The sequence below is a fragment of the Homo sapiens genome, chromosome 2 (assembly GCF_000001405.40).
Source record: "Homo sapiens chromosome 2, GRCh38.p14 Primary Assembly".
Lineage (NCBI taxonomy): Eukaryota > Metazoa > Chordata > Mammalia > Primates > Hominidae > Homo > Homo sapiens.
Genome location: NC_000002.12, coordinates 127,078,397 through 127,099,456, shown reverse-complemented (window position 1 = coordinate 127,099,456; position 21,060 = coordinate 127,078,397). Strand labels below are relative to the sequence as shown.

General features: G+C 58.1%; 1 protein-coding gene across 16 annotated transcripts in view, besides 9 other annotated features; it reads left to right on the top strand.

Annotated features, from left to right (window-relative positions):
- The window catches only part of BIN1 (bridging integrator 1), a 59,132-nt gene that overhangs the window by 7,698 nt on the left and 30,374 nt on the right, over nt 1-21,060 (top strand). Inside the window, exon 1 of one of the 16 annotated variants that reach the window (NM_001320642.1) lies at nt 14,907-15,868. The exons of 14 other annotated variants lie outside the window; for them this stretch is intronic. In NM_001320642.1, the coding sequence (NP_001307571.1) occupies nt 15,866-15,868 (3 nt within the window). In that variant the 5' untranslated portion in view covers nt 14,907-15,865. Of the gene's footprint in view, nt 1-14,906; nt 15,869-17,391; nt 17,626-21,060 lie in introns of those variants that run through there. One more of the 16 variants, NM_001320634.1, reaches the window with a different exon arrangement.
- Nucleotides 2,525-3,295: an enhancer, noted in NCBI's record as "H3K4me1 hESC enhancer chr2:127853738-127854508 (GRCh37/hg19 assembly coordinates)". NCBI's record gives its function as "activates a minimal SCP1, AML or CMV promoter by ChIP-STARR-seq in primed H9 embryonic stem cells {active_cell/tissue: H9 hESC(primed)}" and the evidence as "EXISTENCE:reporter gene assay evidence [ECO:0000049][PMID:30033119]".
- Nucleotides 3,389-4,060: an enhancer, noted in NCBI's record as "H3K27ac-H3K4me1 hESC enhancer chr2:127852973-127853644 (GRCh37/hg19 assembly coordinates)". NCBI's record gives its function as "activates a minimal SCP1, AML or CMV promoter by ChIP-STARR-seq in primed H9 embryonic stem cells {active_cell/tissue: H9 hESC(primed)}" and the evidence as "EXISTENCE:reporter gene assay evidence [ECO:0000049][PMID:30033119]".
- Nucleotides 7,144-7,311: a silencer, noted in NCBI's record as "fragment chr2:127849722-127849889 (GRCh37/hg19 assembly coordinates)". NCBI's record gives its function as "represses an EF-1alpha promoter that drives an FKBP-Casp9 reporter gene in an ReSE screen in phorbol 12-myristate 13-acetate-treated (for megakaryocytic differentiation) K562 erythroleukemia cells {active_cell/tissue: K562(+PMA)}" and the evidence as "EXISTENCE:reporter gene assay evidence [ECO:0000049][PMID:32094911]".
- Nucleotides 11,906-12,883: an enhancer, noted in NCBI's record as "H3K27ac-H3K4me1 hESC enhancer chr2:127844150-127845127 (GRCh37/hg19 assembly coordinates)". NCBI's record gives its function as "activates a minimal SCP1, AML or CMV promoter by ChIP-STARR-seq in naive and primed H9 embryonic stem cells {active_cell/tissue: H9 hESC(naive and primed)}" and the evidence as "EXISTENCE:reporter gene assay evidence [ECO:0000049][PMID:30033119]".
- Nucleotides 14,291-14,430: an enhancer, noted in NCBI's record as "active region_16485". NCBI's record gives its function as "activates an Ori minimal core promoter by ATAC-STARR-seq in GM12878 lymphoblastoid cells {active_cell/tissue: GM12878}" and the evidence as "EXISTENCE:reporter gene assay evidence [ECO:0000049][PMID:35858748]".
- Nucleotides 16,903-17,102: an enhancer, noted in NCBI's record as "active region_16484". NCBI's record gives its function as "activates an Ori minimal core promoter by ATAC-STARR-seq in GM12878 lymphoblastoid cells {active_cell/tissue: GM12878}" and the evidence as "EXISTENCE:reporter gene assay evidence [ECO:0000049][PMID:35858748]".
- Nucleotides 17,143-17,202: an enhancer, noted in NCBI's record as "active region_16483". NCBI's record gives its function as "activates an Ori minimal core promoter by ATAC-STARR-seq in GM12878 lymphoblastoid cells {active_cell/tissue: GM12878}" and the evidence as "EXISTENCE:reporter gene assay evidence [ECO:0000049][PMID:35858748]".
- Nucleotides 17,773-17,902: an enhancer, noted in NCBI's record as "active region_16482". NCBI's record gives its function as "activates an Ori minimal core promoter by ATAC-STARR-seq in GM12878 lymphoblastoid cells {active_cell/tissue: GM12878}" and the evidence as "EXISTENCE:reporter gene assay evidence [ECO:0000049][PMID:35858748]".
- Nucleotides 18,223-18,452: an enhancer, noted in NCBI's record as "active region_16481". NCBI's record gives its function as "activates an Ori minimal core promoter by ATAC-STARR-seq in GM12878 lymphoblastoid cells {active_cell/tissue: GM12878}" and the evidence as "EXISTENCE:reporter gene assay evidence [ECO:0000049][PMID:35858748]".

Sequence of the window (21,060 nt, the reverse complement as noted above, 5' to 3'; positions counted from 1 at the left end):
CTTTAATGAGATGATGGTCATACTAGTTGTTTTTTAATGTTCCTGGGGGGGAAAGAACCATGCTGCCGACACTGCCCCCGCTACCACACACACACACACACACACATGCACCCTGGGAAGACTTCCTGGGGGGAATCCCATACTCTGGGCACTTTGCTTTGCTTCCTGACCCAGGCAGGCCCATGTGTCTCTGGTCCCTGTGGTCACCAAGGCATCTCATCCCCTCAGCTTGGCTCACAGTAGGTGCATACTTGTTGCACATGTGGCTGCATGGATTCTTTAGGCAGTGGGGAGACAGCACTGATGGCTGGCAGAGGCCCTGGAGGCTCCCTGGGTTTGAGGGTGCAGGGTGGGAGCGGGAGGGATGCTGTGTCTGCAGGATTTAGGTTGGGGCTAGGCTAGTGGGTGCAGATCCCACCCTGCCCCGGCCACCCTGGAGGGACCCAGGATCGCTCCTCATCACACTCCCCCGTGATAAAGCAGCCGTGGTCAGCTGCTCAGGGCTGTGGTGGGGCCTAACCTGAGCTGGTGGCTGTAATGCTTGGTGCCCACAAATGGGGTTCTTGTGATTGGCCCAGGCCCAGCCGAGGAGTCCTGCCTGATTTTAGGCCAGATGCCAAATAGGGCTTGGCCTCGGTCCTCTGCAGGGGCCTGTCCTATAAGAGAAAGCTTTCAGGTGACAGCAGTACTGGGCAGTGCTGGCTGGGGGTTCAGTGTGATTTGCTGGACCCAGACATCACTGTGAGAGCTGCTGCCCTTGGACACATTTTGCTGGCTTTTTGCAAAGCCTCTTCCCTCTGCTTCCCGGGCCTGCACCTTCGGCCCCCGTTGTGACCTAGATCCCAAGTGCGACAGCAGGTGGGGTGGGATTGGGGTCACAGCAACAGCATGGGGCGTGGGGGTGGGGTGGTTGGGCCTTGGAGCCTGGGGCCACAGTGGCCTTGGGGCACTGAGGACTGTCCTGTGGTGCCCCTGGGAGTGGGCATTCATGACTCCATACTATGCCCAGCCCCCACTGCTGCCTCCAGTCTGCAGACATCTCCCCTCTGCTGTGTGAAGGCCGCAGTGTCTGGTGGCTGAGCCCGGATTGTTACGGGGAGTGAGTGGGTGGCTGCAGCAGCCGCCACAGGACTGGGTTGGGGGCGGGGGAAGGATTTATCACTACCAGGGTCTGTGGAGCTCAGGCCTTCCGTTCCCTGCAGGCCTCCCCATCCTCAGAGCCCCTGGGGCATCCCCGCTGGCTCCTGAAATATGGTCCTTGTTTTGTGGGTCAACTTCTTACTCTGAATGAAGTCCCCCGAGGAGCCTGCAGATCACCTGGGTAGAGGCAGCGATGGCTTCGCATTTACACCCTAAGTCATTCTGTCATCTGTGACCTGCCCACTGTGGGTGCCTGCTCTCAGGAGCTCCCAGCCTTGCACACAGCACTCATCCCAGGACTGTGGGTTGGGGAGGGCACTGGAGCCTGAGGGGCTTTCCCTCAGGCCCCAGCAGTCAGGGAAGCCTCCTCAGAACCTGAGCCAAGTTCAGAGGGCAAAGGAGGCAGGTGGTAGTGTGGGGAGAGATGCTTGGATGGCAGCGGGAACAGTGCTTGTCAGGGCCCATTCAGGGCCTGAGTTTGAGGAGATGGGCAGAGGCTGGGCCTGGGCTGTAGCCCAGGGCCCTTGGGTGAGGCGGGCCCTGCCCTGGGCTCTTCAGCTTCCCTCCCCACGTGTTGCCTGAACCTTTCTTCTGTCTCCTGGTCTGGCCTCAGCCAAGGACTGTATCTTAATTGTCCTGGGTTGCGGGTGAGGGGATGAGCCTGGAGTCTCCAGAAGGAGTGGCCTGGGCCAGATTAGAATCCAGCCATGCCCAGGGTCTGGGGCAGGGCTTGGGCCTGGAGTCCACCCCTGTTAGGGCTGGGGACACAGGGGCCAGGTGACACCTGTCGCTGGAAGGGCAGGTGGAAAACATCCTGTACCTGCCCTGTCCCATGCATGCCTGCTTCTCCACCTGCTGCACAGCCCAGGGTGACACCAGGAGGGCTGACGCTGCTGGGCCTGGAGGGGTGACGCTGCTGGGCCTGGAGGGCTGACGCTGCTGGGCCTGGAGGAGTGACGCTGCTGGGCCTGGAGGGGTGACGCTCCTGGGCCTGGAGGGATGACACTGCTGGGCCTGGAGGGCTGACGCTGCTGGGCCTGGAGAGCTGGCGGCTGGGAGGTCTATCAGTGGATCCGCTCACCCTTTTTAGGGCGCCCCTGTATGCACGGCCCTGTGTGGCCAGGCCGTTGACTGGGATGGCCATAGGGGTCCTTTTGTTGCAGAGCTGGGTCAGAGCTAGGGAGGGGCCTCAGAGGAGTGGTCCTGCCAGCTGTGGGGACCCCTGGCTCCAGGACAGACCCCCGAGTGGGGAGTGGGCACGGTAACGTGAATAATGCCTCAGTCTCTGTTGTGTGGATGGAGATGGGGGCAGTGTCTGGCAGCGAGGGGTTTCCACCAGGCCTGTGGCTGGAGAAGCTTTGTTGGAACCACAGGGCTGGCAGGAGTGGGTGCCAGGAGAGCCTTTGCCAGCCCAGCCCTTTTTTCCAACAGCTGCTGCTACTTTCTTTGGACCTTTGCTCAGCTCACCATCTCTCTGGGGCTGAGGCCAAGATGCCTGAGTCCAGGGCAAGCAGGGGCCCTTCTGGCACAGAGAGGCCTGGGTGGGAAAGACCCCTTGAGGGTCTTTGGCCTCCTATCCATTTGGCCCATGGCAGCTCCCCTTTTTTCTCTGGCCTGAAGTGGTATGAGCTGTCTAATTATGTGTCAGGGGCCAGATGCAGGTGATGGGGTGGATGGAGCTCGGAGCTGGACCCTGGGACCACAGGCAGATGGGCAAAGGGAGGGGAGACACCGAATGAGAGAAAGGGGAAGAGGAAAGTTAGGACATAGGGAGGAAGGAATTCATCCCCTTGGGGCTGCTCCCCCGCTGTGTGGCGCTGGGCAAGTCACTTGCCTATGGCTTGTTGGAGGGTCTGGGAGGATGTGTGAGGGAAGCACGCAGCTCTGCCCTCCCTGGTGGGTGATGCAAACGCTCTTTCCCAGGGAGCATCTCATGACAGCCCACGGGCGTCATTCTGGCTTTCGTGTTTTGAGTTTGTTGTCTGTGCTTATGACAGGTTTCTTGAAAGTGAACTTCAGTGAGCTTCCCTGCCATTCTCTCCCCACCACCTGTAGAGGCTGAAAAAGCTAAATTGGGAGCTGATGGTCTCACCTTCCCAGGACAGAAGTCAGCTCTCCTTTGACTTAGACCCTGATAGAATGGGGAGGAGAGGGCGAAAGATTGCAGGTGGGGCCGAGGCTGGAGGGGGCCAGATGAGGGGCACAGGGCTGGGGGTGGAGGTGAGGGTCTGGCATCATTTATTCATTCACTCACTTGCTCACTGGAGGAACCTGCTATGTAGCGGAAGACCACAGGCTCCAGGTGGGCCACCAAGCCTCAGTGTACCCACCTGGGGACCGGGAAGTGGGAGACTCCTCTCTCAGCAAAACAAGGTGAACTCCCGACTCCTGTAAGTGAGAATGGCAGCAGCTGAGTTCCTGCTGGGTCCGGCTGGGTCTGGAAGGTTCAGGGGGGCAGAGCCATTGCACCTCTGTTGCATTATGTAATTTACTAAGAACCATCACACCCGCCGCTTTCCATTTGTTTCTCTCTGTGCCCTGTGAGGTAGGTGGGACCAAACCATGGCCCCATCTGGCAGATGAGAACAGAGGCTGGAGAAACTCTGGGATTCCCTTCCTCTTGGGCCTCAGACTTGGCCCCAAGTTGGCCTTTCCCAGGTGCTGCCACCCCCATCCCTGAGTCCAGGGAGTGGGAAGGAGGTGGTAAGAAGAGCTTGGAAGGGACTGTTAAGGTGCAGATGTCTTCATTGTCTTCAAATGAAAATCAGTGTGGGGGCTGCCTTTGTTGGGGAACACCTGGCATATGTTTGGGGGTGGGAGTGGGGCCCCTGGGTGGCTCCAGGAGGCTGGCACACCAAAGGGAAGGTGAACCCACAGAGCCAGGCCCTTCACCTTGGGATTTCCATACTCCGGGATCCACCAGTGACCCCGCCAGGGAGGCATGGTGCAGGGGACCTGGGTACCGACAGGAATCCAGGGACCTAGGAGGATCAGATTTGAATGAAGCTGGCCTGACTGTGCTCCTGAGAAGCATACCTCCCACCTCCCACAAAGAAAGAGTTGCAGGGATCCTGGGGGATGTTAGTGGCTTGGGAGGGGACTCCAGGACGAGGAATGAGCTGACTCTTGTTCTAAACTGAGAAACAGAATCCACAATTAATTGGATGCATTTGCTGAACCTGGGACAGGACCCAAATCTTGTTCTTTTTCTGAAATATAAACCAAGCCAGGAGTTTATTTATTTGTGTCCCCTCTCCCTGCAAGGACTCAGTGAAGCAGCCTGTCCTGGAAGGCAGCCTGGCTGAGCTGGAATGTCACCGCCTTCCCCGAGTTGACCCGCCCACCCTGTTCTCCTGGTCTGGTGAACCATGGGCCTGGAGGAGGCCCCATGGTTGAGGGGGTCAACCTCCCCAATTGAGGGGGTCCTTTCCTGAGGGCATTCGGGGCAGCACCACCCGGGGGCTGGTGGGCAGGGTCTGTTGATCCTGGGCTGTTCTGGCCTGGGGCCAACTTCAGAAGCCTCCCTGAGGAATGGGTGTGGGCTGCAGGGCTGGGCGGGGGGAGCTGAGTCAGCACTGTGGGAGCCCTGATCACAGCAAGGACAGAACCTGATGCCAGCGTCCGGCTTTGTGCCACTGCACTTGCGGGTCACCCTGCCTGCTGCACTGCGAGAGACTAGGGAGGCCTTCCCCATAGTCTGCAGTCGGCTCCGCGCCACTCCAGTGCTTAGACTGTGTGCCTGAGCCATGCGGGGAGAGACAGAGGGACCGGAGCTCCCAGGTTGCACTGGCCTCCTGGCTAGCAGGCAGCGGGACCCCCCCAGGTTCCTGCTCCTGCTCTCCCTCCTCATCTCCTTTTGACTTCCATAAAACGGGCTAACAGCAAACCCTGTTTGCTGGTCTCAATCCTGAAGGGGGAGGCTAGACCCATCGTGCCTGTGTTCCTGGCTTCTGGCACATAGTAGGCACACAGTGCCAAGTGAATTGGCATGTGAGGCTTCGGAGGATAAAAGCCTTTGTATAAGGCTTTGCAAAGCACCTTACACAATGCAGCAAGGTGGAAAGAATATGATTTTCAAGTCTCAGAGCCCCAGGTTCAAATCCTAGCTCTGCTCTTCCTCAGTGCTTTGACCTTGGACAAGTTACTCCCCCTCCAAGTTTCAGTGTCCCCTTTTGTGAGGTGGGATAGTATCCTGTGTGGGAGGGTTGTCATGAGGATTAAACGGGAGAACAGGTGTCTCCATTTCACACACGAGGACCCTGAAGGTCGGGGTGCCGGCTCGTGGACCAGCCCTGCTCCAGGGCAGGGAGCAGGGCCTTAGGCCAGTGGGGGGTGTCTAGCTGCACCCATGCCCTCCGTGTGTATCCTCTAGGGCCGTCCTGTCTGAGTTTAGGCCTGGGGCCCCCAGCACTGGAGGAGTCCAGGGAGTCCAGGCCTAGCTCAGGATCCAGATGGTAGGGCTTGAGGCCTTGGGAAGGAAGGAAGGGGAGGGGATTGTCCAGAGAGAGCGGCAGGGGCGGAAACGTGTGGTATCGTTCTCACCCATCATAAGGGCCACAGCTGACACCGCTCTAACGAAAGACAGGTTTCCAAGAGCAAAGCATCACATTTCTTTAATCAATGTTTTACATGACACGGGAGCCTTCAACGATGAAGATGCAAGGACCAGAGAGAACTGTCTGTTTTCAGACATAAGTTGGTGAGGAATGGACAGCCGTGTAGACATATGATGGGACAACGGGTGTGACCTAATGGTGATAGTCCGAGGGGGAACCCAGCAAGGCTTGTCGGCTCGGCTTCTTTCCGGCCTCTCTGTGTTGTGTGGCTTCCTCCCACATACAGCGCAGGACCCCTGTGGAATGAGGGTCTTCAGGGGTGAAGGGAGTGGGAGAGAGTGAACTATCTGGGTTTCATGGCTGGCTTTGGGGAAAAGGGGTTTTGGTCTTTATGCTTCACCTTGGGAAAGAAAAATTCCAGTTTTGATGACTCACCTGGGCAGGGAAAAAGAGGGGAGAGAGACAGAAGGGCAGGAGAAGGTCACAGAGAGCTTACCTCTGAGGCCTTTCACATGCCCTTTGTTCAGAGTCTGCAGTGAGCCACAGCACCACACTTTGGGGTGCTGTGTTCTGAGCCCCGACAGGGCCTTGTGGGGGCCAGGCTCCAGGTGATACTGTAAGCCCCCACTTCCCCTTCCGCCCTCCCTCCCTGACCCCTCTCTCTGTGGACAGCCCTAGCGTGGGGGTGGCTGGGGGCTGACCTGGCATCTGTGGGGGGGCCCCCAGGCTGTGCCCCACTCCTTTGGCTCCCTCCTGGGATTTTTTTTTTTTTTTAGAGGGATTGGCCCCTCTGTCTGTCTGCTCAGCCCCTTACTGTTGAACTGTGCTGCTCTTGATGGAGAGAGCCCTTGGGGAGGAGGGGACAGTGCAGGAGGAGCTCCTCTTCCTTTCGGGCACAGGGGGTGCAGGCGTGGGCTGTGGCTTCTGGGACCTCTGTCCTCTCTCCTTCATGGGGTCCCTGCCTCCCCTTCCCAAGTGCACTGCACTGTGTTGGCCCTTCCCCGGGAGCTTTGGAGGAGGACTGGATGTGTTAGTGAAGGAACCTGGGCACACTCTGGGGACCTTTCTAGATGATGACTGGGACTGCAGGGTGGATCCTCTGGAAGGCTGGTGACTTGCCCGGGGCTGCGGGTCAGTGGGAGGCCCTTGCTGCCCCCTGCAGCATGCCCCTGAGCTGGTGGCTGGCCTCAGGGCTGAGCCTGGTGGTGCTAGGGACTGCGGGCAGGTGTTTGGGGCCTTTAGTCAGCAGCACTGCCTCCCACACGGGGCAGCCAGCTGAGCAGCGGTCAGCCTCTGTGGGCCCTGTTGCTCCTGTTACCTCCCTCTAAGGTTAGTGGGACCTGGATTATGCCCAGGGAGGGATGGCACCTGCTGAAGTCACACAGCCCATTAGGGTGGGGCTGGGCTATGTCCACTTCTGTCCCACTGTGTGCTGACATCCTTAATCGGGTGGGGAGGGGCAGTGCATTTGTCCCCCACATCCATGTCCCTCTAGCCCTTCACATTTATGTCATTCCACTCCTCCTTACCACACAGCACAGGACGGGCAGGGTTAGGGGGAGGAAGCCCGGAGCCCCTCTGCTCCCCTGAACATTCATTCCACCTGCCAGGGCCTGGGGCAGGGGCAGGGACAGGGGGTAGAGGTGGGTGTAGGGGTGTGGTGGAGGGTGGTATGTGGGGTAGGGGCCAGGCGGAGAGCTGGGCCAAGAGCCTGGGGAAGGGGCAAGGCTAGGGGCAGGGCCAAAGGTAGGGGCCATGGGGTAGGGCAGGGGTAGCCACGTGACTCCCTCCGCATGTTCTTGTCCCCTCTGGCTCTCCGTTCCATTCCCCCCACCCACCAGCCCCTATTCTTTTGTTGTTTTTCTGAGACAGGGTCTTGCTCTGTTACCCAGGCTGAGTGTAATGGCACAATCATAGCTTGCTGCAGCCTCCAACTCCTGGGCTCAAGCGATTCTCCTGCTTCAGCCTCCCGGGTATCTGGGACCACAGGTGTATGCCACCACACCTGGCTAATTAAAAAAAAAATTTTTTTTTTGTAGAAATGGGGTCTCCTTACATTGCCCAGGCTGGTCTTGAACTCCTGGCCTCAAGCAATCCTCCCACCTTGGCCTCCCAAAGTGCTGGGATTATAGGCATGAACCACCACGCCCGGTCAGCCAACCCTTATTCTTGATCTGAATACCTGTTGATCAAACACCTCGTCCCCTTCTGGTTCCTTCCCAACTTTCCTCCAGCCTTGATTTCCTACTTCTGGGGCCAAATACAGTGGAATCAGCCTTGGACTCGAAGTAGGTCCATTCTCCTCTTCTCTGGGACTCAGAACCTGCCAGCCTTGGCTTTTGTTTCTGCATCGGCAAAGATGGGGAGCCCCTGTGGCTGAGAACAGCACTCACACTTGTGTGGAGGGGCAGGGCATGCTGGACAGGCCAGGGTGAGGCAGGGAAGCCCCTAGAACAGCACTGGGTAGAGGAAGGCCTGAGAATGCCCCGGGGCTGGGGTGAGGGCAGCCTCCTCAGTACTGTGCTGCGTGGGGTGCCTGTTGGTGCCTCAGTGGGCACTTCTGGGTGGGCGCTATCTAAAGCTGACTCTGGGCATTCACTCCTTTGAATAGCAGAAATGACAACAATACTGTTTGAAGTAATACCAATGATGTGTTTGAGATAAACACATACCTCCCGTAGGCACCATTTACTAGTTCCAGTGTCATGGATATAGAAACCGAGGACTTTGATTAAGGAATGAATAGCCTGGTTGCATGTATAGGTTGAGCTTCTCAGACAGGAACAGACGTGTAAGAACCTGAAGGCATCCAGAAGAACAAGTCAGCTCCTGTGCCTGGAGTGGAGTCGGGGAAGGCTGCCTGGAGGAGGTGATGTGAAGGGCCAGCATAGCCTGGCATTGCTAGGGAGGCAAAGTTTCCTAATGAAGACTGTGGGAGTGTGTGGCGACCCGTGGCTGTTGCCTTCCCACCCAGCTCAGACCTTCACTTGGCCCCAAGGCAGGTGGGTGCTGGCCAGACCTTCCCCCTCCCCTGCCCTGGCTGCTGGGGAGCTGCCACCGCCCCCCACCCACAGCTGTGCCCTGGCTGGGGCTGGGCTGGTGCTCTGCTCCTCCCAGCACAGGCTGTTCCCCCACTGAGCTCAGGAAGCAGGTGATGAGGGTGGGAGGCGGGTGGGCTGGAGAAGCAGATTCCACCGTGTGTTTATGGCCAGTGTCCTGGAGCTGGGCTGAGAATAGCACCCGCACTTGTGTGGAGGGACAGATGGGCGGAGGGCTGGGGCCAAGGGTGGGGTGCGTGCCTGTGGAGACAGGCTGTCCTCAGCGAGCCCCACCCAGCACAACTGAAGTGGTGGAGGGTCGCCCTGTGTCACTGATGCCCCGCGGCCATGCCCTTGCTGCCTGCCTGCGGGGGTGGCACTGGGATGTGGAGTAGTAGCAAGGCCCATCAGGGCTCCTCATGTGGCCACAGCGGGTTGCACCAGGCTGGCCTTGCTGCGATGGCCACTGTCTTCAGCTGTTTGGTTGATTTCCATGGGGCCTCTTGTCGGTTTACCCTTTTCCCAAAGGGGCCCAGCGTAATGGGGTGGCTTGCAGGGTCCTTGCAGAGCTGCAGGCAAGGAGGCTGCAGAGGGGAGCTTGATTGGAGAGAGGAAGGGGGGTGGTTGGTATATGCTGTTCCAAGGAACTGGCCATGCTGCAGTGGACTGTGAGCCGCAGGAGCAGGTGCACTGGGCGGCAGGTGCGGGGAAGGCTTATGTGAGCTGGGGGTTGGGGGAGTAGGGCGTTGGGGACTAGGGTGGGAAGACTGCAGGAACTTTCAGCCCTGGGTGGGGGGAGCAGGGGGGAATCCAGTGCTAGCGGCTCTGCTGGGCCCTCTTACCTACATGATCATACTTCACCTTTAAACACCCTTGAGGGAGTTCTTGGCTCTAAGTGATGAGACCCAGCAGGTCAGGGAGGTGAGCTTACTTGCCCAGGGCTGCACAGCCTGGGCCTGCTCCCAGCACCTTCTGCCCCAGCAGTGTCTCCTACCAGAAGGGGTTCCTGGCCAGCTGCCCAGACTAGATGCCCTGAGCTGGTCATCCAGAGTGGGCAGTGGGAGGGACTGAGGGGCAGGTGGGTGGGGCCGGGGTGTGATAGAAACCTGACGGTGGGGTGTGTCCAGTCCACCCCAGGGTTCCTGGCCATTGTGTCTGCACCTTCCTCCTGGACATCTCTGGGCACTGCAAACTCACTGTGACCCCCAGCTGTTACCCCAACACGTGTCCCCATCTCAGGTGATGACCACCCCTTCCCTCTAGTAGCTCAGATCACAGAGTCCCCTTGCCTCCCACCTGGGTCAGTGCAGTCAGCTTCTGAACAGGCACCCTGCCCCACTGCGCTCCTGAAGTGTGTACACGCGCCAGCCTGGGAGCTTTGCAGGCTGCAAAATCAAGTCTTGGCTCAGAGCTTTCCAGGGTTCCACGTTCCATGCTGGGTTTTAAGGGCCAGAGTCTTCCAGGGGCCTCTGTGGTCCTGGGGGCCGAGGCCGCATGTGCAGTGGTTAAAGCTCCTCACCGATGGACCCAGGCCTGGGGTTGGGATCCTGGGCCTGGCTGCGTGACCCTGGGGAGTTGTTAAGGCAGTGCCTCAGTTTCCTCACCTGCAAAGTGAGAATATAATAGTATTTCCTTCATGAGGTTATGGAGGGGTCCACCATGAGGCTATGGAATCATGCCCAAGGGCTCAGCATGAAGCCTGGCACCTGGTGTTTCAGGGCCTCCTGGTCCTCCCTGCCCCCTGCCACTCTCAGCCACGCCGGTCTTGCTGTCCTGTGGCATCCCTCCCGTCCACCTCAGGGCCTTTGCACTCACTGAGTTCTCTGTCCAGTGAGTTCTACCTTCTTCTTCCTTCCTGGCCTGGTGTCTTGCTCCTTCATCAGGTCTCTGCTCAGCTGTCACTTCCCTGAGTTCCTTCCTAAGAGCAGCCGCCCTCTCCCCTCACCCCCAGCCCTTCAGTGTCTCTCTTTTTTTTTTTTTTTAAGAGATACGGTCTTGCTCTGTCGCCCTGGCTGGAGTGCAGTGGTGCGGTCCTGGATCACTGCATTTTTTGAACTCCTGAACTCAAGGCATCCTCCTGCCCTAGCCTCCCCAGTAGCTAGGACTATAGGTGCACACCATCACACTCAGCTAATTAAAAACTATTTTTGGTAGGGGTAGGATCTCACTATGTTGCCCAGGCTGGTCTGGAACTCCTGACCTTAGGTGATTTGCCCCCCTCAGCCTCCCAAAGTGCTGGGATTACAGGTGTGAGCCACCGCACCCGTCCCCCTGCTGCATTTTTGTTCGGAGGCTCACAGCACCTTTCAACATTGCCTCCCTCCTAGAGTGCTGGCTCCTCCAGGGCAGAGACCTTGCTTGGCTTCCCATAGAGCATGGCCAGGCACACTGCCACCAGGGCACGTTGCTGAGTCTTCAAATGCCTGTTGTGAGGTGATAGTGCAGAAGAGGAAGCCACCTTCGTTTTTGGGTGGGCGTTGGCAGGGGAGGCTCTGATTCTGTGCCTGTCCTGCTCTTGGCACCCCTCTCAAGGAACTGAGTTATGAGAAGATCCCTCCTGCGTCTGGCCAGCTCACCCACAGTGTGACCACCACAGCCACCAGGCCCTACAGCCGAGAGGCCACGTCCCAGAGCCGGGGTGGGGACTCTTCACAGTGGTGGGTCTGGTGGAAGGTTCCTTTCTTCCACTAAGTGCTGGCTGGGTGGGGAAGAAGCTGGAGGGTGAGGCCTGGGCAGCTGGCTGGGCGCTTGATGATGGTCTGGGTGGGCGTAGCCCTTCTAGAAACTCCTCTGTTTGCTGGTGGACACCTGGTTCTGCTGATGGCTAAGAATAGACTCAGCTTGGGGGATGGTCCCGAGGGGAGGGGAGCCAGTCATGATCCAGGGGGTCCTCCAGCCCTCCTGGTTGGAAGGTGGTGGGGTGGCTGATAAAATCCAAGGGCTTGGTAGCGGTGGGCCGTGTGCGGATTCTAGCTCATTGCTTACTGACATGGGACTCTCGGTTTCCTCACTGTGAAACGCCTCCCTCCCCTGCCAGGATTTGGAGCACATGTGGTCTTTGGATGAGCGGTTCCTGCTCTGCCGTCCGTCCTGCACTGCCCTTGGCTGGTCCAGCCCCGCCGGCCACTGTGAGAGTGCTCACCCCAGCCCCCTCCCAGCCTGACTCTGGCCCCTGCTGCCTCCACTCACGCTGTGTGCTCTGCTCGGGGCTCCCCAGGCCACCGCAGCCCACCCTGGCTTCCTCTGGGGTCCACGTGGCACCACCCTGGCTGCAGGCCATAGGCTTATCTACAGAACCGGCTGGAATTTCAGGCACCCTGGGAGGGATGAGAGAGAGGACGGGGAGGGGGCCTTCCTGGCCTGGAGTCAACTGGACACTCGTTCTCTGGGGCGGGAGCCTTCCCTTCCAGCTGCAGAGATGAGTGTGGAGGAGGAGACCCTGCAACTTCCTTCCCCTCCCCCTTCTTTCTCAGGGGCGGGGCTGGGCTGCCAGCTCTGATGCAGACAGGACCTCCAGGGGCCGGCCGGGCTGGGAGGGCTCTCTGTGTTTTCGTTTTTGACCATCAAAGCATTGTGGTGGGGCTGACGTAGTTGGTCAAGTTTTTATTGTCAGTTAAGGATGTAAAAGAGAAAACCCAACACCACTTTTTGCTCTCACCAGTATTTCACAAAGGAAAGGGAAAATCACCAAAAAGAGGAAGGAGATCATCATTTTAGAGTGACGGCCTCCCAAGAGAGGCCAGGCAGCTTCCTCAGTCAGCCTTTCTGAGCAGGGGACCACGGAAAAGTGTGATGAGTCTTTGTGGACTGGTGTCAGGGGACGGAGCATGGGGGCTTGTCAAAAAGGTGGATCGCCATGTGGGGGTGAGGCCAGGCGCTTCCTGGGGGTCATGGACTTGTTAAAAAGACGGATCACTGTCTGGACGCGGTGGCTCATGCCTATAATCCTAGCACTTTGGGAGGTCGAGGCGGGTGGATCACGAGGTCAGGGGTTCGAAACCAGCCTGGCCAGCATGGTGAAACCCCATCTCTACTAAAAATTCAAAAATTAGCCAGGCGTGGTGACGTGCGCCTGTAGTCCCAGCGACTCTGGAGGCTGAGGCAGGGGAATTGCTTGAACCGGGGAGGCAGAGGTTGCGGTGAGCCGAGATTGCACCACTGCACTCCAGCCTGGGCAACAGAGCGAGATTCTGTCTTAAAAAAAAAAAAAAGAAAAAAAGATGGATTACCATGTGGGGGCGAGGCCAGGCCTTCCTGGGAGGAATGTCTTCCCGGTTTTGTATTTCATCGTGAAAATCTTTGTCAGCTTTGCGTTCTAATCCACAAGCTGTCTATGTTGGTTATGTCACAAAAGTGTTTTCTTTACCAGTTCGATCTTTGGATCAAAGCAAGATGGAGTGTGAATCTTCTTCAGCAAGCTCCAGACACACGCCCGCTCCCCCCAGTGTCTGTGTGCCCCAGTTTGGGAGTCAAAAGTTGAGTCTGGGCTTTGGAACTGATCAGGTGTGGCATCCTGGCTCTAGAGCTCATTAGCTGAGTGACCGCCCTGACCCTCGATTTCTTCATCTGTAAAATAGGACCAACGGTCATCACCTCAGGGTGGCCTAGGGATATGAACCCAACGGGAGGGGGTTCAAGGGTGATGTGTCCCCCAAGGTGAGTCCTTGGAGGAGAGATTCCCTGGTGGTCATGCTTTGCACTGTGAGCTTTGTGGAGCTTACCTAGAGGGGCACATGTGGGGGCCTCAACTGGGCTCCATAGGGAAGGAATTTGATGGGGAGGGAGTCCCCTCTGAAGTGAGAGCTGAGCTGGCAGCATCTCCCTCGAGGGAGGGCAGGTTGACAGATGCCTGTCCCTAGAGCCAGCCCCTCCTGCCACCACCTCATATCCAGCCCAGGGGACATGGGGGCCCCAGGTATGGGGGCACAGAGGAGCTAGGGAAGGGGGCTGAGGCCTGGCTCAGCTCCCCCTTTCGGAGCAGCCCTGAGGGTGTGAGCTGAGGGGGAGGACCCCATTCCCCCAGAGGTGCTGGGCCCTTCCTGCTGGGGGTGCGTCTGGCCACCCTGGGCTCGCTCTTGGTTTCCCCATCTCTGGTTTTCTTTCGGGCTCCTTCCTCATTATGGGCTCTCCCCGGGCCTCCCTCTGCCTCTTGCTTGTCTCTGTGGCTTCTTCGTGGTTCCTCCACTTTCCTACTGTGCCCAGGAGGGCCATGAACAGGTGGCTCTGCCAGGGAGGGTGTGTGTGAGCGTGTGTGGGCGTCATCTCACACTGGAGGTGCTTGCTGCATGTACATGGCCGAGCTTGTGCTGCTGTGTGGGGCCCTGAGGGCTGGGGAGCGTTCTTGCCTCCAGATGGAATGCACTTATCTTTAAAGTCATTGTGCCTTTGAGAAGTTGGAAGGCATAGCCTGAAGGGTGGCTAGCCGCTAAGAAGTGTGCTGTGTGTTCTGGGCTTGCTTCCTGGGACTCACTTCCCGGTGCCCCTGGGCTCTGCTCTCCAGCAGGAACCTGGGCCACTTCTCCCCTTTGCAGCCACAGCTGGGGCTGCTGCAAGGGGCCCAGCTGCCCGTAGCTTTCCCAAGGAGTCTGGGACCCTCATTCTAGCCCCTCTGTCCTTGGCTGCAGGTCTGGGTGCCCTCCCCTCCCAACCTGAGGGTGAAGCAGCAGCTCTGGGGTGGGGCGGGGCGGGGGATGGAGGGAGAACAAGGCCTCAATCGTCACCAGGAGACTGCTAGCTTCTGGGTTAAGCACTGCTGCTCTGAAGACGCCTCTGTACGTGTGACTTCACTGGGTTCTGAGGAGGAAGAGAGTTTCCCTGGGCTGGATGAGACCAGGAAGCTGCCCCTTGTGCAGTCACCAGCCTGGGGCAGGTGCCACAGCCCACAGTCAGTGTGGCCTCCTAAGGAACACTGCAATGGGCTCAGAGGGCAGCTGCTAGGCCATGGGTCTGTCTCCTTTCTCACTTCTTGAAGCAGACAGACCTGAGTGATGATGCTTGTTCACCACCACCACAAAGCCACAGAATCTGAGCTCGGTCGCTTCTTCGCTGCAGAGCCAAATCCTTCAGTGCCGCAGCCTTTCCTTTCTTATCTCTAAAGCAGGGGTAATAATCTGCGGCTCTGAGCATGAGGGAACGCTGAAATGCCTAAGAGCAATGAGCATGCCTCTCCACCGAAGGAAATCAGGGTTCCTTGGAGAAATGGCTGATGCCAGGGCTGGGGCAGGGACAGTGCAGGCTGAGCCTGGAGAATCTGCTAGTGCCAGAAAGTAAGGAAGCGCCTGGAGATGAATGAGGACGTGTCCGAAACCTCCCACTGGTCGCACTTGGGATGTTTGAGCATCAAAATGAATCACGAACGCAAAACGAAGGACTCACGATATCCTCACCACCCTCCTCGCAAAGGCAAGACCAGGGGAGGCTCGTGTTTGTGGAATGCCGGGTCACGTGGAGGAGATTGGGTAACAGCGGGTTCCAGCCAAGATGCTATTGCAGTGCTTCTCAGACTTCACTGCGCATACGGTGCGCCAGGGGGACTTGTTAAAGGGAACACTCTGGTTCAGCAGGTCTGCAGTTTTTTTTCTCCTCCAGGCTCTTGGAAGACTGTCATGCAGCTGCCCACAGACCTCACACTGAATAGCAAAGAATGATGGATAGTAAAGGCACTGTGCAAAAATTTCAACAACTTTTTGCCTTGCCACAGTGACCGTGATTGTCCTGCAGATGACTAAGAGAAAAGTGACCTTCCTTTCCAAGAGATCTGGCAAACACGACTCAGACCCGGCGGTCAAGCCTAACACAGCTGTGGTGCGGTGGGAAGGCTCAGCCTCCCTCTGCAGGACTCTTGCCAAAGCAGCCTTTAACCTGAACTTCCTCACAAGGAAACAATCAGATGGATCCAGAGTGTGGGGCATTCTCCAAGTGATTGGTTTGCACTCTTAAAAAGATACCAGTATCACGAAAGAAAAAAAATGGATAACATTGATAAATAGGCATACGGGGAATATTCTGGACTAAAGGAACAAGAGACCCGACAATCAGAAGCAATATGTGAACCACAGTTGGATCCTAGACCCAGACATAAAGGGCATTTGGGGGGCACCCAAGGATATTTGAATGCGGACCGTGTGGTAGATGGTATTTTAAAATACATTTTGGATGTATTGGGGGTGCTTATGGTATCATGGGCATTTTGGAGCATGTTCTTGTTCTTAGGAAATCTGTTGGAGTATTTAGGGGTGAAGTATTGTGGAGCGAAGGTCATCCCAGTGACCCTTCTGCTGCTTACCTTCTGTTGGCTGGGCAAACATACAAATGCAGGAACGGTTTATATATAGAGAAAAGTGACTGGGCACGGTGGCTTGTACCTGCAATCCCAGCACCTTGAGGGTGCTGAGGTGGGAGGATCACTTGAGGCTAGGAGTTCCAGACAAAACTGGGCAACATAGCGAGGCCCTGTCTCTACAAAAAGTAAAAATACTAGCTAGGTGCAGTGGCCTGTAGTCCCAGCTACTCGGGACGCTGAGGTGGGCGGATCGTTTAAGCTCAGAAAGTCTAGGCTACTGTGAGCCATGATTGCGCCATGTACTCTAGCTTGGACGACATAGCAAGAAAAGAGAAAAGCAAAAAAAAAGAAAAAAAAAAAAAGAAAAAAGCAAATGAGTGTGGCCAAGTGGTAACAGTTGATTGGTGAATCTGGGTGAAGGGTAGATGATAGTCCCTGTAGTATCCTTTCCACTTTCTTTGAGGTTTATACTTTGAAAATAAGGAGGTGAGAGGGCCACATGAAATGTGGAGGTGAGTGGTGGGCTTAGAACCTCTTTTCCTCCCTCTGCTCTCTCGTCAGGGCTGCTGTGGCCTCCTGCATGGCACCTAGATTGTTGGAGGCCACCGAGACTCTCCACCCAGAGGTGGGGAGCAGGCTTAGGTGGCTCCACTGTCGGAGTGGGGATGGGGAGGTGTGAGCAGCAGCCGGGAGAGGGGTCCTGTGTGTCTGGTTGCAGGGACAGCTCGCATTTGAGAGATGGGCTTGGAGGAGGGGTTGTGTGCTGGGGAACTAGGTGACTATGGGATCTGCGGGACTGTCCTCAGACTGGCTCCCTCTGCCCCTGGGGGTTTAAGACTCCCATTGTACCCCTTTCACCACTGCCACCCCAGCCTGATGTGTCAGACAGCAGGCAGCATCTTGGGGCAGGAGAGGGGAGGCAGAGGGCCTTGTACCCCTTCCCCTGCCTGGGCGCCCACCATGGCCTGCCCACGCCAACCCTGGTCTCGGTGCAGACTTGTCCTGCGATGTCCCTGGTATCCCCAGCTGAGTGCCTGCAAGGCCTCAGAGCTTGTGACCACGGAGGCCTTCAGCTGGCCATCCTGCCCTCTGTCTCCCCTGCAGGGGCCCCTGGAGCATGAGGGCGGAAAGATCCCCGAGGCCAGCCCTGTGTCATCATCCACAGCTCCCCAGCTTGGCTGACCCGAGCTGTGTGTGGGAGACGACGGAGGAGGAGGGGCAAGGAAAGATTGACAGAGGGACAGCCCCCGGGAGTCAGTGAGCGAGCCTGGACCCAGAGGTGGGGGGCGGGGGTGGGGAGAAGGCTCGCCTTTGTCCTGTTCTAGGGGCCCTCCTCCCTTTCGCCTCTTGGGGTGTCTCCCTCGGGACTGGGCCCAGAGAAAGCCTGGCCGGGTGTCTGACAGTGGCCTTCCCCCTGCCCGCCTGCCTGTCCTCTGTCTGTGTCTGCCTGCCTGGGGAGCCTCGGTGTGAGAACGCCGGGGCACGAGGGTGTGCATCCTGCCTCCGTGGCCCCCGACCGCAGGCTCTGCTGGGAGGAAGGGGCGAGACAGGGCTCACTTCTCAGCCCGCCCTTCCTGTGCAGGCAGGTGGGGAGGAGATGATGCGGAAGGTGAGGGCCTTATGCGTTTTCTGGGGTCTCAGCAGCTGGGTGGTGGGTGCCTGGGAGGGAGATTTGCTGGATGAGGTCCCCCTTCCATGTGTGTGTGGGGGTGGGGTGTTGGGAACTCTGCTGCCACTGCAGGGACGAGGGGTGCCGCTGGCTGGTGGAGGAGCCCCTAGCTTTCTGCCTGGCCCTGGCCAGGACCAGAGTGACTGGGAACGCGGCCCTCACCCCTCCTTCCTTAGGCTTCCCTCCTGGGCCCCTGGGCTGGTCCTTCTGATGGCCTTGGGAAGTGCTTATCCCTGCCCTGGGCCATGCCATTCAGACTGTGGGTGTGTGTCCCGCAAGTGCAGCAGGCCCACTGGTCTCTGGGGCCGAGGGAGGGATCAGAGACCCCAGGAGGGGCTGCTGGGGCCCAGCCGGGTGAGCCCGAAGACCCGGCCCTCCTCACTGTGGCGGCTAGAGCTCCTGGCCCCTCCTGACTGGACGGTGTCAGGCTGTGTCCTGATTTGTTTGTGCTCACCTGCCATCTGTCACATAAGGACACTTCCCTTCTGAGGAGGCGGCCCTGGTGACTTGAAGTGCGTGCATGGTGGGTGGGTGCTGTACGTGGTGAGCTGCTCCTGGCTCAAACAAGACAGGCCTGGGCACCCTTCCTCCTTCTGGGTTCGGTGGCCGTGCACTGCCTGTGCCCCATGACTCACGCTGTGGGTCAGGGCCTTGCCTGCCATGCGGGGGCTGTTGGAGGGTGGCAGGACTCCCTGTACCCACAGGGAGCGGCTGACGCCAGGGCCTTCTGCCCTCTCACTGGGCCATGACAAAGGCCTTGGCGGAGGGCTGGGGAGGGGCACCCACCCACGGGATGCTCCCACTGAGCCCCTGTGGACCCGGGTGCCGGAGGCATGGCGTCAACTCAGTGAACCACCCAGCCTTTCTAGGGAGGAGCCTTGGGAGGGTTTCCTTCCACAGCCGAGGCCCAGCGAGGCTGAACCCTGTGGATGATTGCAGGAGGAGGTTCTGGAGCTGGCCACGGGTTCACACTTTGTCATTCCTGCCACCTGCCCCCCCTCCCTGCCCTGCCCTGGGGTGTCCCCTCCAAGGCACTTCAGCTCCACTCACATCTGGCCTTGGGTTGAGGACATGGTGAGAGGAAGCTCTGATAGGAGGTGATTGGGTGTGGCACTGATAAAGCTCCTGGGACTGTTGGCTCTGTGGCTGCCTCTGCCGCCTGGGCCTCTGTGTGTCTCGTCCGCCGCCAAGTTTTCAAAGGCTCCCCTTTGTTTATCACAGAGTGAGTGTGCGTGATAAGTGTGTGATGAGTGTAGGTGGAACTGATTGTCTAAGGGGCCCTCACCCAGTAACCCTGGACAGAGTGCAAATCCTGGCCTGTGCCGCCAGACCCTCCTCCTCACCCAACTCCTGCTCATCCTTCAAAACCCAGCACAACTGTCCTGCCCAGCTTTCCTTAGTCGCTGCTGGGCCAGCCCCTCCTGGACACCTGGAGTCCCCTGTGTCCCTCAGTGGTCTGCCTGTGAGCTCGGCACAGGGGAGGCCCCACTAACCAAGTGTGGAACGGATGGGGTGGGAGATCTGTGTCCCAGGGCTCACGGCCTTGTCCCAGCTCCTGTTCTGGGGCAGGGGGTGCCCAGATTGTTTTTCCCTGTGGTAGCCACACCAGGAGCTCCTTGAGGATGGGGACCCCAGGCCACTTGCCTGCGTTCCCTCATGGATGAAATGGGGGTAGGTGCAGTGAGGATGGCATGTGGCCAAGGCCAGCCTCGCCCATGGGTCTTCCCTGGGCCTCGGCCATGCTGTGGCCTTGTTATTCCTCCCATTTCCAAGGCGGGGGCACTGGAGCACTGAGAGCTTCAGCAGCCTGAGGTCTCGCAGAGTGGGGAGACTGGCTCAGCCTCAGGCTTGCTGTCACCCCTCAGGGCTGAGGGCTTTCTGTACATTACCCTTCCATTTTGTCTGGGAGGAGCCTGAGGCTGAGAGGTGGGTTGTTTTGTTTAGGGTCATGTCTCTGCCCTCAAAGCCCACAGCTCAGATGAGCAGCAGCCGCTGAGAATATCTTGTGTGTCTGTCCTGTGCTTAGCCCTGTGTGGGTGTTGGGGACACAGAGATGACTGGAACAGTGTCCCTGACCTCAAGCTGTTCCTTCAGGGTGAGGGTGTGAGGCACACAGGCACATCACATAGCAGTGAGGAAAGCTCTAAGTGGTACAGAGTGTTTTGAGGAAAGGAGAGATCAGGGACAGTTCACAGTGATGTCACCTGAGTGAGGTTTTGAAGGATGCATAGGAGTTTGCCATGTGCAGGTAGAGTGTGCGCGTCTGTGACTTCTGTCTCACATCTTGGGATGCCGTCAGCCTGGACCCGGTGTGAGGGCTGGCGGTGTCAGTCAGGCCCATCCCCCACCTGTGTGAAGGCTGCTCTGAAGGCCTTTTAGGGATTTGCCATTTCTTGAATATCATGGGCCAGGTACTGCTCTGCACTTTATAGACATGATCTTTGTAATCCTTGAGGAGGGTGCCAGTGTTCACTTCATTTTGTAGATTGAGGCTCAGAGAGTAGCTGTCCCTTTTCCCAAGGGTCTTCTCACTGCTGCGTGGAGTCTCACCTGGGCTGGTGTCTCGTTCTCAAGGCTGGAAGATCTCCCCAGTTCTCCAGCTGTCTGTGCAGAGCACACAGCAGTGTTTGGGAACTGGGTCGAGTGTGTGTCTGTCTCTGTACACCTCAGGAGCCCTGGTGGCCAGTGTGGGTGGGGAAGACTGGGGACCTTTTGCTGGCTGAGTGTGTCTGTCTTCCTGGGGAGAGGGAGGGCAGGGCGTGGAAGGGGCATCCTTCCTGGTGCTCTTGCCTTGGGAGCTGGGCAGTCCCTGCCCTGTTTCTGAGAGCTTCTGGCTCTCTCTGGTGGCTCTGGTAGACTTCTGGGAGTTCTTTTCTATGTGGTGGTCTATTCCTCTCTTTGGAGGGGGTGGGGCTGTGGGGTGGGTGCCTGAGCAGAGGGGCTGAGTCACCTACCCAAGCTCTTTGCAGAGCCGGGTGAGGAACCTCCCCAGCTCAGCCCACTTTCTGGGGGGTCCCTTCTGGATGTGGCTGCCAGGGAGGGGCAGCAGTGGGGAGCCTGCAAGTTGTGCAGTGTACATTTTCTTGCTCATGTGGGGGTTTTGTTTTGGTTTTTCTCTCATCCCTGTGTCAGCCCTTGGCATCCAGCTGCAGTTGCCCAAGGGGCTGTGTCCCGACCGCTGTAGCACAACATCATCGGTGGCTGCCTCCCGGTGCCCACCTGCCCCCTGCTGCCACTCTCACTTTCCCACTCCATCCTCTGTGACCTCTAGTCACCTTGAGCAATTCAAAACTCCCCAGTAAGATGCTCCATCTTTCTGGTCTCCTTACCTTTGTTGCAACCTCTCCCCTCTGTCTGAGCTGCCACCCACTCCAG